Here is a 16,828-nt window from a genome sequence, read left to right as displayed (position 1 = left end):
CCGTCTGGTCCTGGGCTTTTTTTGGTTGGTAAGCTATTAAATATTGCCTCAATTTCAGAATCTGTCATTGGTCTATTCAGCGATTCAACTTCTTCCTGGTTTACTCTTGGGTGGGAGGATGTGTCCAGGAATTTATCCATTTTTCTAGATTTTCTAGTTTATTTATGTAGAGGTGTTTGTAGTATTCTCTGATGGTAGTTTGTATTTCAGTGGGATTGGCTGTGATGTCACCTTTATCATTTTTTATTGCATCTATTGAATTATTCTCCCTTTTCTTGTTTACTAGTCTTGCTAGTGGTCTATCAATTTTGTTGATCTTTTCAAAAACCAGCTCTTGGATTCATTGATTTTTTGAAGGGCTTTTTGTGTCTCTATCTCCTTCAGTTCTGCTCTCATCTTAGTTATTTCTTGTCTCATGCTAGCTTTTGAATTTGTTTGCTCTTACTTCTCTAATTCTTTTAATTGTGATGTTAGGGTGTCAATTTTAGATCTCTCCTGCTTTCTCTTGTGGGCATTCAGTGCTATAAATTTCCCTCTATACACTGCTTTAAATGTGTCCCAGAGATTCTGGTATGTGGTGTTCTCATTGGTTTCAAAGAACATCTTTATTTCTGCCTTCATTTCATTATTTACCAGCAGTCATTCAGGAGCAAGTTGTTCAGTTTCCATGTAGTTGGGAGGTTTTGAGTGAGTTTCTTCATCCTGAGTTCTAATTTGATTGCACTGTGGTCTGAGAGACAGTCTGCTGTGATTTCTGTTCTTTTGCATTTGCTGAGGAGGGTTTTACTTCCAATTATGTGGTCAATTTTAGAATAAGTGTGATGTGGTGCTCAGAAGGATGTATATTCTGTTGATTTGGGGTGGAGAGTTCTGTAGATGTCTGTTAGGTCTGCTTGGTCCAGATCCGAGTTCAAGTCCTGGATATCCTTCTTAATTTTCTGTCTTGTTGATCTGTCTAATATTGACAGTGGGGTGTTAAAGTCTCCCATTATTATTGTGTGGGAATCTAAGTCTCTTTGTAGGTCTCTAAGAACTTGCTTTATGAACCTGGGTGCTCCTGTATTGGGTACATATATATTTAGGATAGTTAGCTCTTCTTGTTGAATTGATCCCTTTACCATTATGTAATGGCCTTCTTTATCTCTTTTGATCTTTGTTGGTTTAAAGTCTGTTTTATCAGTGACCAGGTTTGAACCTCTGCTTTTTTTCACTTTCCATTTGCTTGGTAGATCTTCCTCCATCCTTTTATTTTGAGTCTATGTGTGTCTTTGCATGTGAGATGGGTCTCCTGAATACAGCACACTGATGGGTCTTGACTCTTTATCCAATTTGCCAGTCTGTGTCTTTTAATTGGGGCATTTAGTCCATTTACATTTAAGGTTAATATTGTTATGTGTGAATTTGATCCTATCATTATGATGCTAGCTGCTTATTTTGCCCGTTAATTGATGCAGTTTTTTCATAGCATCAGTGGTCTTTACAATTTGGCATGTTTTTGCAGTGGCTAGTACCGGTTGTTCCTATCCATGTTTAGTGCTTCCTTGAGAAGCTCTTGTAAGGCAGGCCTGGTGGTGACAAAATCTCTCAGCATTTGCTTGTCTGTAAAGGATTTTATTTCTCCTTCACTTATGAAGCTTATTTTGGCTGGTTATGAAATTCTTGGTTGAAAATTCTTTTCTTTAAGAATGTTGAATATTTGCCCCCACTGTCTTCTGGCTTGTGGGGTTTCTGCCAAGAGATCTGCTGTTAGTCTGATGGGCTTCCCTTTGTGGGTAACCCGACCTTTCTCTCTGGCTGCCCTTAACATTTTTTCCTTCATTTCAACCTTGGTGAATCTGACAACTGTGTGTCTTTGGGTTGCTCTTCTCAAGGAGTATGTCTGTATTTCCTGAATTTGAATGTTGGCCTGCCTTGCTAGGTTGTGGAAGTTCTCTTGGATAAATCCTGAAGAGTGTTTTCTAACTTGGTTCCATTCTCCCCGTCACTTTCAGGTACACCAATCAGGCGTAGATTTGGTCTTTTCACATAGTCCCATATTTCTTGGAGGCTTTGTTCATTTCTTTTCACTCTTTTTTATCCAATATTGTCTTCTCACTTTATTTCATTAATTTGATCTTCAATCACTGATATCCTTTCTTCCGCTTGATTGAATCAGCGATTAAAGCTTGTGTATGCTTCATGAAGTTCTTGTACTGTGGTTTTCAGCTCCATCAGGTCATTTAAGCTCTTCTCTACACTGCTTATTCTATTTAGCCATTCGTCTAACCTTTTTTCAAGGTATTTAGCTTCCTTGCATTGGGTTAGAACATGCTACTTTAGCTCAGAGAAGTTTGTTATTACCAACCTTCTGAAGCCTACTTCTGTCAAGTTGTCAAACTCATTCTCTGTACAGTTTTGTTCCCTTGCTGACAAGGAGTTGTGTTCCTTTGGAGGAGAAGAGGCATTCTGGTTTTTGGAATTTTCGGTGTGGATGTCCTTTTTGTTGATGTTCATTCTATTCCTTTCTGTTTGTTAGTTTTCCTTCTAACACACAGGCCCCTCAGCTGCAGGTCTGTTGGAGTTTGCTGGAGGTCCACTCCAGACCCTGTTTTCCTGGGTATCACCAGTGGAGGCTGCAGAACAGCAAATATTGCTGCCTAATCCTTCCTCTGGAAGCTTTGTCCCAGGGGGCACCCACCTGTATGAGGTGTCTATTGGCCCCTACTGGGAGGTGTCTCCCAGTCAGTTTACACGGGGGTCAGGGACCCACTTGGGGAGGCGTTCTGTCCATTATCAGAGCTCAAATGCCATGCTGGGAGAACCACTGCTCTCTTCAGAGCTGTCAGGCAGGGATGTTTAGGTATGGAGAAGCTGTCTTCTGCCTTTTGTTCAGATATGCCATCAGTTGGAAATGCAGAAATCTCCTGTCTTCTGCATCGATCTTACTGGGATCTGTAGACTGGAGCTGTTCCTATTCGGCCATCTTTGGAGTTTCCTTGTGTAGATAGTTTTAAACTGGTGTGCTTGTAGGAGGGATAATCAGTGGAGCCTTCTATTTCACCATCTTGTTCCACCCCTCCTGTTTTTCTTGTTGAGTTTCTTGAGTTCCTTGTAAATCCTGAATGTCATTTCCTTCAGTTGCATAGCTTGCAAATATTTTCTCCCATTTTGCAGGTTGTCTGTACAGTGGGTTGATTATTTCATGCACTGTGTAGAAGCTTTTTAATTTAATTAAGTCTCACTTGCCTATTTTGTTTTTGTTGTCTCTGCTTTTGAGCACTTTGTCAGGAGTTTTTTGCCTAGACCAAAGCCAAGAGAAGTTTTATCTAGCTTTTTTCTAGTATTTTTATAGTTTCTTCTGTTACATTTAATTATTTCATCCATCTTGAGTTGATTTTTGTATATGATGAGAGATAGAGATCTAGTTTCATTCTTATGCATATGGTGATCTAATTCTACTTATTTATTTATTTATTTATTGAGACAGGGTCTTGCTCTGTCACCGAGGCTGGAGTGCAGTGGCATGATCTCGGTTCACTGCAACCTCCGCCTCCTGGGTTCAAGGGATTCTCATGCCTCAGCCTTCTGTGTAGCTGGGATTACAGTCACTCGCCACTATGCCTGGCTAATCTTTTTGTATTTTTAGTAGAGACAGGGCTTTGCCACGTTGGCCAGGCTGGTCTCGAACTCTGGACCTCTGGTGATCCACCTGCCTTAGCCTCCCAAAGTGCTGGGATTACAGGTGTGAGCCACCATGCCTGGCCGCCTTCATGATCTAATTCTTCCAGTATTATTTATTGAAAAGGATGGCTTTTTCCTGGTGTATATTTTTGTCACCTTTGTCAAAAATCAGTTGGCTCTAGATATGTGTCTTTATTTCTAGGTTCTCTATTCTGTTCCATTACATTTTGTGTCTGTTTTTATACTAATATCATGCTCTTTTGGTTATTATAACCCCATAATTTGAGATCAAATAAGGTGATGCTTCCAGCTTTGTCTTTTGGTGTTAAGATTGCTGTGCTGGAGCTAAATGATGAGAACACATGGACACATAGAGGGGAAAGACGACACTGGGGCCTATTGAAAGGTAGAGAGTAGGAGGGAAAAGATTAGGAAAAATAGCTAATGGGTACTAGGCTTAATACCTGTGTGATGAAATAATCTGTGCAACAAACCCCCATAACACAAGTTTACCTATATAACAAACTTGCACATGTAGCCCTGAAATTTAAAGTTAAAAAAAAATTGGTTTGGCTATTCAGGCTCTTTTTTTTTGGTTCCATATTAATTTTAGGATTGTTTGTTCAAATTCTGTGAAAATTACAATATTATTTTGAATAGGGATGGCATTCAATCTGTAGAATGCTTTGTGCAGTATGGTCAGTTTAATGATATTAATTCTTCAGATCCATGAGCATGAGATATTCTGCTCACATTTGTGGCCTCTATAAATTTATTTCATCAATTTTTCATAATTTTTATTGTAGAGATCTCTCACTTCCTTCACTTTATTCCTGGGTATTTTACATCCTAAATATGTTTTCCCTGCATTTTTTTGTGGCTAATGTGAACAGGATTGCCTTCTTGATTTTGTTGTCAGCTTGATTATTATGGTTGTATAAAATACTACTGATTTTTATATGTTAATTTTGAATCCTGAAACTTTACTGAAATCATTTATCAAATCTAAGAGTTTTTTGGAGGAGTATTTAGACTTTTCTAGATATAAGATCATACTTTAGAAACAGAGATAACTTGACTCCCTCTCTTTCAATTTGTATGCCTTTTATTTTTCTCTTCCCTGATTGCTCTGGCTAAGACTTCCAGTATTGTGTGGAATAGTAGTGAAAGCGGGCATCTTTATCTTTTTTCTGGTTCTTAGGGGGAATACTTTCAACTTTCCACCATTCAGTATAATGTTGGCTCTGAGTCTGTTCCATATGGCATTTATTATTTTCAGGTATGTTCCTTCTATTCCTAGTTTGTTGAAGGTTTTATCATGAAGGGATGCTGAATTTTATCAAATGCTCTTTCTGCATCTATGGAAATAATCATGTGATTTTTGTTTATTCTGTTTATGTGATGAAGCACATTTATTGACTTTCATGTGTCAAACCATATTCGCATTTCTGAAATAAAACACATTTGATCATGATATATTATCTTGTTGATGTGCTGTTGAGTTATATTTGCTGATTTTTTTAGAATTTTTCCATCTATGTTCATCAGGAATAGTGGTCTGTAGTTTTCTTTTTTGGTTGTGTCATTGTCTGGTTTTGGTATACAGCTGATACTGGTTTCATAGAATGAAATAGGGAGGATTCTATTCTTTATTTTTTTGAAACAGTTTCAGGAATATTGATGCCAGTTTCTCTTTTCATGTTTGGTAGAGTTCCCCTGTGTATCCATCTTTTTTGGGAAGGGGTGATTTTTATTATTGATTCAATCTTCTACTCATTGTTGCTCTGTTCAAGATTTCTATTTTTTTTCTGGTTCAATCTTGGGAGGTTGTATGTTTCCAGGAATTTATCCATTTTCCTCTGGGTTTTCTAGTTTGTGAATGTAGAGTTGTTCATAGCAGTCTCTGATTGTCTTTTGTATTTCTGTGATGTCAGTGGTAATGTCTTCTTTTTCATATCTGATTATATTCATTTGGATCTTCTCTCTTCTTGGGAGTCTAGCTAGCAGTTTATTAATTTTGTTTATCATTTCAAAAAAACAACTTTTCAATTTGTTAATCCTTTATATATTTTTTGGTTTCAATTTTATTTAATTCTACTCTTATATTTGATATCTCTTTTTCTGCTAAGTTTGGGTTTGGTTTGTTCTTGTTTTTCTAGTTCCTTAAGGTGCAATGTTAAATTGCTAGTTTATGATATTTCTGTTTTTTGAATGTAGGCATTTAATGCTATAAAATTCCCTCTCAGCACTGCCTTTCCTGTATCCCAAAGGTTATGGTAACTTGTGTTTCAATTTCCATTTATTTCAAAATTCAGCAAGAGGGTGTAACAACCTATATAGATACCCAACACCAGAGCCATTAGATTTATAAAACAAATACAATTAGACCTAAAGAAAAAGATAGCAATACAATAATCATGGGGGACTTCTTTGCCCCAATCACAGCACTGGACAGACTGTCAAATATACTGTCCACAAAAAACCATTGGATGTAAATCGGGCTTTAGACTACCCAACAACTGCAGAATATAGATTCTTTTTGTCAGCATGTGGAACATTCTGAAAGATAGACCATGTATAAGGCCACGAAACAAGTCTCTACGAATTTTTTAAAATGGAAGTTACATCAAGAATCTTATCAGATCACAGCAGAGTAAAACCAGAAATCAATACAAGAGGAACTCCAGAAACTGCACAAATACCAAGAAATTAAACAACATGCTCCTAAATAATCTTTTGGTAAACAATGAAATTAAGGCAGAAATTTAATTTTTTTTGGAAATGAATGGAAATAGACTCTCTCTCTCTCTCTCTTTTTTTTTAAGATGGAGTCTCACTCTTGTCACCCAGGCTGGAGTGCAGTGGCATGATCTGGGCTCACTGCAACCTTGGAAATGGACTCCTTTTAACATGTTATAATGTCCTTTGTCTTACTTATTTATCTTCATTTGAGACAGAGTCTCACTCTGTCACCTACGCTGGAGTGCAGTAGTGCAATCACAACTCACTGCAACCTTCACATCTTGGAATCAAGCGATCCTCCCACCTCCTGTGTAGCTGGGACTACAGGTATGTGCCACAGCATCTGGCTAATTTTTGTATTTTTTGTAGAGATGGGGTTTCACCATGCTGCCCAGGTTGGTCTTGAACTCCTGAGCTCAAGCAATCCATCCACCTCAGCCTCCCAAAGTGCTGGGATTACAGGCATGAGCCACCACACCTGACTCTTTGTCTTATATTTACTGGTTTAATGAAATAAGGGTTTTTAATCTGATATGAGTATAGCTACTTCTCAATTTTGGGTTTCATCTATATGGAATATCTTTTTCCCATTTCTTTCCTTTTAGTCTGTAAGTGTCTTTACAGGAAAGGTAAGTTTCTTGTAAGCAGCATATAGTTGGGTCATTTTAAAAATTTATTCTGCAGATCTATATATTTTAATTGGAGCATTTAATTCATTCATTTTCAAGGTTGATATCAATATGTGAGATTTTGTTTCTTTCATGTTGTTATTTTTTTATTTTACTATTATTATACTTTAAGTTTTAGGGTACATGTGCACAATGTGCAGGTTTGTTACATATTCATGTTGCTAATTTTTCTCTAGTTGTCTTAAAATTTTTTTGTTTCCTTTTTTCTTTTATGTTTTTAATTTTTTGGGTATATAGTAGTACATATATTTATAAGTTACATGAGATGTTTTGATACAGGCATGCAATACATAATAATTACATCATGGAAGATGGAGTATCCATCCCCTCAAACATTTATTCTTTGTGTTACAACAATGAAATTCTACTCTTTTAGTTATTTAAAATATACAATTAAATTATTATTGACTACAGTCATCCTGTCATGCTATCAAATACCAGGTCTTATACATTCACTCTATTTTTTAACCCATTAAGCATCCTAACCTCCCCCTCAACCTCTGACTAACCTTCTCAGCCTCTAGTAATCATTCTTCTACTCTCTATCTCAATTGGTTCAATTATTTTGATTTTTAGATCCTCAAAATAAGTGAGATCATGCAATGATTTAGGTGCCTGGCTTATTTCACATAGAATATGACCTTCAGTTCCATGCATGTTGTTTCAAATGATTGAATCTCATTGTTTTCTATGGCTGAATAGTACTCCATTGTGTATAAGTGCCACATTTTCTTCATCCATTCATCTGTTGATGGACACTTAGGTTGCTTCCAAATCTTGGCTATTGCCAGCCATGCTGCAACAAACATGGGAGTGCAAATGTCTCTTCAATATAGTAATTTCCTTTCTTTTGAGTGTATATCCAGAGATGGGATTCCTGGATCATATAGTAGCTCTTTTTTAATTTTTGGAGGAAATGCCTAACTGGTTACCATACCAGTTGTACTAATTTACATTTCTTCCAATAGTTTACTAGAGTTCCCTATTCTTCTCATTCTCACCAGCATTTGTTATTCCCTGTCTTTTGGATATAATATTTTTCAACTGGGGTGAAATTATATCTCATTGTAGTTTTAATTTGTATTTCTATAATAACCAATGAAATTGAGCACCTTTTTATACACCTGATTGTCATTTGTATGTCTTCTTTTGAGGAATGTCTATTCAAATCTTTTTTTATTTTATTTTATTTTTATTTTTATTTATTTATTTATTTATTTATTTTTATTATACTTTAAGTTTTAGGGTACATGTGCACATTGTGCAGGTTAGTTACATATGTATACATGTGCCATGCTGGTGCACTGCACCCACTAACTCATCATCTACCATTAGGTATATTTCCCAATGCTATCCCTCCCCCCTCCCCCCACCCCACAACAGTCCCCAGAGTGTGATGTTCCCCTTCCTGTGTCCATGTGTTCTCATTGTTCAGTTCCCACCGACGAGTGAGAATATGCAGTGTTTGGTTTTTTGTTCTGGTGATAGATTACTGAGAATGATGATTTCCAATTTCATCTATGCCCCTACAAAGGACATGAACTTATCATTTCTCATGGCTGCATAGTGTTCCATGGTGTATATGTGCCACATTTTCTTAATCCAGTCTATCATTGTTGGACATTTGGGTTGGTTCCAAGTCTTTGCTACTGTGAATACTGCCGCAATAAACATATGTGTGCATGTGTCTTTATAGCAGCATGATTTACAGTCCTTTGGGTATATACCCAGTAATGGGATGGCTGGGTCCAGTGGTATTTCTAGTTCTAGATCCCTGAGGAATCGCCACACTGACTTCCACAATGGTTGAACTAGTTTACAGTCCAACCAACAGTGTAAAAGTGTTCCTATTTCTCCACATCCTCTCCAGCACCTGTTGTTTCCTGACTTTTTAAAGATTGCCGTTCTAACTGGTGTGAGATGGTATCTCGTTGTGGTTTTGATTTGCATTTCTCTGATGGCCAGTGATGGTGAGCATTTTTTCATGTGTTTTTTGGCTGCATAAATGTCTTCTTTTGAGAAGTGTCTGTTCATGTGCTTCACCCACTTTTTGATGGGGTTGTTTGTTTTTTTTCTTGTAAATTTGTTTGAGCTCATTGTAGATTCTGGATATTAGCCCTTTGTCGGATGAGTGGGTTGTGAAAATTTCCTCCCATTTTGTAGGTTGCCTGTTCACTCTGATGGTAGTTTCTTTTGCTGTGCAGAAGCTCTTTAGTTTAATTAGATCCCATTTGTCAATTTTGTCTTTTGTTGCCATTGCTTTTGGTGTTTTAGACATGAAGTCCTTGCCCACGCCTATGTCCTGAATGGTAATGCCTAGGTTTTCTTCTAGGGTTTTTATGGTTTTAGGTCTAACGTTTAAGTCTGCAATCCATCTTGAATTGATTTTTGTATAAGGTGTAAGGAAGGGATCCAGTTTCAGCTTTCTACATATGGCTAGCCAGTTTTCCCAGCACCATTTATTAAATACGGAATCCTTTCCCCATTGCTTGTTTTTCTCAGGTTTGTCAAAGATCAGATAGTTGTAGATATGCGGCATTATTTCTGAGGTCTCCGTTCTGTTACATTGATCTATATCTCTGTTTTGGTACCAGTACCATGTTGTTTTGGTTACTGTAGCCTTTTAGTACAGTTAGAAGTCAGGTAGTGTGATGTCTCCAGGTTTATTCTTTTGGCTTGGGATTGACTTGGTGATGTGGGTTCTTTTTTGGTTCCATATGAACTTTAAAGTAGTTTTTTCCAATTCTGTGAAGAAAATCATTGGTAGCTTGATGGGGATGGCATTGAATCTATAAATTACCTTGGGCAGTATGGCCATTTTCACGATATTGATTCTTCCTACCCATGAGCATGGAATGTTCTTCCATTTGTTTGTATCCTCTTTTATTTCCTTGAGCAGTGGTTTGTAGTTCTCCTTGAAGAGGTCCTTCACATCCCTTGTAAGTTGGATTCCTAGGTATTTTATTCTCTTTGAAGCAATTGTGAATGGGAGTTCACTCATGATTTGGCTCACTGTTTGTCTGTTATTGGTGTATAAGAATGCTGTGATTTTTGTACATTGATTTTGTATCCTGAGACTTTGCTGAAGTTGCTTATCAGCTTAAGGAGATTTTGGGCTGAGACAATGGGGTTTTCTAGATATACAATCATGTCATCTGCAAACAGGGACAATTTGACTTCCTCTTTTCCTAATTGAATGCCCTTTATTTCCTTCTCCTGCCTAATTGCCCTAGCCAGAACTTCCAACACTATGTTGAATAGGAGTGGTGAGAGATGGCATCCCTGTCTTGTGCCAGTTTTCAAAGGGAATACTTCCAGTTTTTGCCCATTCAGTATGATATTGGCTGTGGGTTTGTCATAAATAGCTCTTATTATTTTGAGATACGTCCCATCAATACCTAATTTATTGAGAGTTTTTAGCATGAAGGGTTGTTGAATTTTGTCAAAGTCCTTTTCTGCATCTATTGAGATAATCATGTGGTTTTTGTCTTTGGTTCTGTTTGTATGCTCAATTACATTTATTGATTTGCGTATTTTGAACCAGCCTTGCATCCCAGGGATGAAGCCCACTTGATCATGGTGGATAAGCTTTTTGATGTGCTGCTGGATTCAGTTTGCCAGTATTTTATTGAGGATTTTTGCATCAATGTTCATCAAGGATATTGGTCGAAAATTCTCTTTTTCGGTTGTGTCTCTGCCCGGCTTTGGTATCAGGATGATGCTGGCCTCATAAAATGAGTTAGGGAGGATTCCCTCTTTTTCTATTGATTGGAATAGTTTCAGAAGGAATGGTACCAGTTCCTCCTTGTACCTCTGGTAGAATTCGGCTGTGAATCCACCTTGTCCTGGACTCTTTTTCGTTGGTAAGCTATTGATTATTGCCACAATTTCGGATCCTGTTATTGGTCTATTCAGAGATTCAACTTCTTCCTGGTTTAGTCTTGGGAGGGTGTATGTGTCGAGGAATTTATCCATTTCTTCTAGATTTTCTAGTTTTTTTGCATAGAGGTGTTTATAGCATTCTCTGATGGTAGTTTGTATTTTTGTGGGATCGGTGGTGATATCCCCTTTATCATTTTTTATTGTGTCTATTTGATTCTTCTCTCTTTTTTTCTTTATTAGTCTTGCTAGCGGATTATCAATTTTGTTGATCCTTTCAAACAACCAGCTCCTGGATTCATTAATTTTTTGAAGGGTTTTTAGTGTCTCTATTTCCTTCCGTTCTGCTCTGATTTTAGTTATTTCTTGCCTTCTGCTAGCTTTTGAATGTGTTTGCTCTTACTTTTCTAGTTCTTTTAATTGTGATGTTAGGGTGTCAATTTTGGATCTTTCCTGCTTTCTCTTGTGGGCATTTAGTGCTATAAATTTCCCTCTACACACTGCTTTGAATGTGTGTACTGGGAAACTTTTCAATATGGCTTTGATATCTTTACCTGTTATTGGTCAGTTTATGATTTGGATTTCCTCATGGTTTAATTTTGGTAGGTGGCGTGTGTCTAGGAATTTATCTATTTTTTTTCCAATTTATTAACATGTAATTGCTAATAGTAGCTACTAATGATCCTTTGAATTTCTGCAATATCAATTGTAATGTCTCCTTTTTCATCTCTCATTTTATTAATTTCTCTTTTTTTCTCAGGAAGCCTGGCTAAAAGTTCATCAATTTTGATTAATGTTTCCACTTCAAACTATACTATAAGGCTACAGTAACCAAAACAGCATGGTACTGGTACCAAAACAGATATATAGATCAATGGAACAGAACAGAGCCCTCAGAAGTAACGCCGCATATCTACAACTATCTGATCTTTGACAAACCTGAGAAAAATAAGCAATGGGAAAGGATTCCCTATTTAATAAATGGTGCTGGGAAAACTGGCTAGCCATATGTAGAAAGCTGAAACTGGATCCTTTCCTTACACCTTATACAAAAATTAATTCAAGATGGATTGCAGACTTAATCGTTAGACCTAAAACCATAAAAACCCTGGAAGAAAACCTAGGCATTACCATTCAGGACATAGGCGTGGGCAAGGACTTCATGTCTAAAACACCAAAAGCAATGGCAACAAAAGACAAAATTGACAAATGGGATCTAATTAAACTAAAGAGCTTCTGCACAGCAAAAGAAACTACCATCAGAGTGAAAGGCAACCTACAAAATGGGAGAAAGTTTTCACAACCTACTCATCTGACAAAGGGCTAATATCCAGAATCTACAATGAGCTCAAACAAATTGACAAGAAAAAACAAACAACCCCATCAAAAAGTGGGTGAAGGACATGAGCAGACACTCCTCAAAAGAAGACATTTATGCAGCCAAAAAACACATGAAAAAATGCTCACCATCACTGGCCATCAGAGAAATGCAAATCAAAACCACAACGAGATACCATCTCACACCAGTTAGAATGGCAATCATTAAAAAGTCAGGAAATGACAGGTGCTGGAGAGGATGTGGAGGAATAGGAACACTTCTACACTGTTGGCAGGACTGTAAACTAGTTCAACCATTGTGGAAGTCAGTGTGGCGATTCCTCAGGGATCTAGAACTAGAAATACCACTGGACCCAGCCATCCCATTACTGGGTATATACCCAAAGGACTATAAATCAAGCTGCTATAAAGACACATGTGCACATATGTTTATTGTGGCACTATTCACAATAGCAAAGACTTGGAGCCAACCCAAATGTCCAGCAATGATAGACTGGATTAAGAAAATGTGGCACATATACACCATGGAACACTATGCAGCCATAAAAAATGATGGGTTCATGTCCTTTGTAGGGACATGGATGAAATTGGAAATCATCATTCTCAGTAAACTATCGCAAGAACAAAAAACCAAACACCGCATATTCTCACTCATAGATGGGAATTGAACAATGAGAACACATGGACACAGGAAGGGGAACATCACACTCTGGGAACTGTTGTGGGGTGGGGGGAGAGGGGAGGGATAGCATTAGGAGATATACCTAATGCTAAATGACGAGTTAATGGGTGCAGCACACCAACATGGCACATGTATGCATATGTAACTAACTTGCACATTGTACACATGTAGCCTAAAACTTAAAGTATAATAATAATAAAATGAAATAAAATTATAAAACTAAAAATAAAAACACCAACTCTTTTAAAACGATCTTTTTTTTTTTAACTTTCAATTTCATTTCCCTCTGCTTTGATCTTTATTATTTCTTTGTTCTACTAATTTTGGTTTTGGTTTACTCTTGGTTTCCTAATTGTTTAAGAGGCATTGTTAAGTTATTTATTTGAAGTTATTCTTCTTTTTTGATGTAGGCACTTATAGCTATAAACTTACATCTTAATACTAGTTTTGCTGTTTCCCATACATTTCGGTATGTTTTGTTCCAATTATTATTTGTTTTAATTTTTAAAAAAATTCCTTCTTAATTTATTCTGTGACCCAATGGTCATTCTGAACCCTGTAGTTTGATTTCCATGTATTCTTATAGTTTCCAAAATTCCTCTTGTTATTGGTGTCTAGTTTTGTTTCAACGTGGTCAGAGAAGATGCTTGATATTATTACAACTTTTTTTGGAATTTTTAAAGCCTTTTTATGACCTAACCTGTGATCCATCCTTGAGAATAATCCTTGTGTAGAGAAGGAGAATGTGTATTCTGTGATGCTAAATAAAATGTTTGTAAATATCTATTAGGTCCATTTGTTCTGTAGTGCAGATTAAATCCAGTGTTTCTTTGTTCAGTTTCTGTCTGTGAGATCTGCTTAATGCTGAAAGTGGGTTTTTGAAGTCTCTAGCTATTATTGTATTGGGGCCTGTATCTCTTTTTAGCTCTAATATTATTTGTTTTAGATGTCTGAATTCTCCAGTATTTGGTGAACATATATTTAAAATTTTTATATCCTCTTGCTGAATTGATCTTTTATCATTATATATCGACCTTATTTATCTCTTCTTATAGTTTTTGTCTTGAAATGTATATTTTTCTCATATAAGTGTAGCTACTCCTGCTTTTGTTTTAGTGTCCTTGGTAAGGAATATCTTTTTCAATCTCTTTACTTTTAGTCTATGTGTGTCTTTATAGCTGTAGTGTGTTTTTTATCCTTTTAGTCTATGTCTTTTGATTGGAGAGTTTAGCCCATTTACATTCAATATGTTATTATTGATAAGTAAGGTCTTACTTTTTCCATTTTGTTATTTGTTTTCTGGTTGTTTTGTTGTCTTCTCTGCCTTCTTTTTTTTCCTTTTTGTCTTCTTTTTTTTTGAAGGTGACTTTCTCTGGTTATATTATTTAGTTTCTTCCATTTTATTTTGTGTATTTGTTGTATTTTTTTGTTTGAGGTTATCATGAGTCTTGCAAATACTATCTTATATCCAATCATTTTAAGCTCATAGTAACTTAACACTGTTTACATAAGTAAACAAACCAACAAGTGAAAACAAAACTAATAAAAGTCTATAACTTACCTACTTTGTCCTTCCACTTTTAAACTTGGTGTTGTTTTTATTTATATCTTATTGTACTGTCTATGTCTTGAAAAGTTGTAATTATTATCTTTCATTGGTTCAACTTGTAGTCTTTCTACTTAAGATAAGAGTAGTTTACACACCACAGGTACAGTGTTCTGATATTGTGGGTATTTATGAATACTTACTATTATCAACGAGTTTTGTACCTTCAGATGATTTCTTATTGCTCATTAACATCCTTTTCTTTTTGATTGAAGTACTTCCTTTAGCATTGCTTTTAGGACAGGTCTGGTGTTGATAAAATCCCTCAGCTTTTGTTTGTCTTGTAAAGTCTGTATTTTTTCTTCATATTAGTAGGATATTTTCACCAGATATACTATTCTAGTGTAATTTTTTTTCCTTCAGCATTTTAAATATATCACGCTACTCTCTCCTGGCCTGTACGGTTTCCACTGAAGAGTCTTTTGCCAGATGCATTGGAACTCCATTGTATGTTATTTGTTTCTTTGGCTGCTTTTAGGATCTTTTCTTTATATTTGATCTTTGAGAGTTTGATTATTAAATACCTCCAGGTAATCTTCTTTGGGATAAATCTACTTGGTGTTCCACAGCCTTCTTGTACTTCAATACTGATATGTTTCTCTAGGTTGGGAAGTTTTCTGTTATTATCCCTTTGAATACACTTTCCAGCCATATTTCTTTCTCTAGCTACTCTATAAGGCCAATAACCCTTAGATTTACCCTTTGAGGTTATTCTTTTGATCTTGTATGTATGCTTCACTGGTTTTTATTCTTTTCTTTTCTCTCCTCTGACTATATTTTCAAGTAGCTTATCTTCAAGCTCAGTAATTCTTTCTTTTGCCTGGCTAAATCTGCTGTTAAAAACTGATGCATTCTTCAATATGCCAAATGCATTTTTCAGCTCCAGAATTTTTGCTTTTTTATTATTTCGTTTGTTAAATTTATCTTATAGAATTCTGAATTCTTTGCCTGTGTTATCTTGAATTTCTTTGAGTTTCCCCAGAACAACTCTTTTGAATTCTGTGTCTAATAATTTCTCCAGGATTGTCCCCTGATGCATTATTTAGTTCATTTGGTGAGGCCACATTTTCCTGGATCTTCTTGGTACTTGTAGATATTCATCAGTTTTAGGGCATTGAAAAGTTAAGTATTATAGTCTTCACACTCTGGGCTTTTTTACACCCATCCTTCTTAAGAAGACTTTCCAGATATTTAAAAGGACTTGAGTGTTTTGATCTAAGCTATATCTGCTTTAGAAGGGACCAAAAGCCTTGTAGTGCTGTCATTCTTCTAGCCTTGTAGAGGTACTACCTTGATTGTCTTGGATACAATCTGGAAGAATTCTTTAGATTACCAGACAGAGACTCTTGTTCTTTCCCCTTATTTTCTCCCTAACAAATGAAGCCTATCTCTCTCCTCTGAGCTACCTGGAGATGGGGGTGGAGTGACATAAGCGCCCCTATGGCCACCAGCATTAGGACTGCACTGGGTCAGACTTGAAGCCAGCACAGCACTGGGTCTTGCCTAAAGCCTGCAGTAACCACTCCCTGGCTACTACCTATGTTTGCTCACAGCCCTGGGCCTTTACAATCAGCAGGTGGCAAAGCCATCTAGGCTCATATACTTCCCTTCAGAGCAGCGAGTTCCCCCCAGGCCCTGGGCAGGTCCAGGGATGCTGTCTGGGAGCTGAAGTCTAGAGTCAAAAACCTTAGAAGTCTACCTTATATTCTGTTGTACTCTGGCTGAGCTGGCACTAAAACCAGGAGATTCGGTTCTTCCTACTCTCTTCCCTCATCCTTTAAATGCAGAGGAGTCTCACTCTGTGGCTACTACCACCTCAGGCCCATGAGGAGTACTGTCAGACTACCACCAATGTTCTTTTAAGGCCCAAGGGCTCTTCAGTCAGCTTGTGGTGAATGATGCCTCACCTGGGACTTTCCTTTCAGGGGAGTGGGTTCCTCTATGGCCCAGGACAGGTCCAGAAATGCCATCTGAGAGGGAAATCCAGGAGTCAGGGACCCTGTGGCTGAGTTGGTATCTAAGATGCAAGACAAAGTCCCATTTACTTTTTCTTTCACTTTTCTCAAGCAGAAGCAGTCTTGCCCTGTAGCCACAACAGCTGGGAATGTGCTGAGTCTCACCTGAAGTTATCAAGTCTCAGTGTCTCACCCAAAGCCCTTGATGTAGTGCCTGGGTATCTCTGATAGTTATTCAGGGCCCAAGTGTTCTGCAGTTAGCAGGTGATAAATCTTG

This window comes from Homo sapiens, chromosome X, assembly GCF_000001405.40.
Source record: "Homo sapiens chromosome X, GRCh38.p14 Primary Assembly".
Taxonomy (NCBI): Eukaryota; Metazoa; Chordata; class Mammalia; order Primates; family Hominidae; genus Homo; species Homo sapiens.
Note: the sequence above shows the minus strand (reverse complement) of the source record.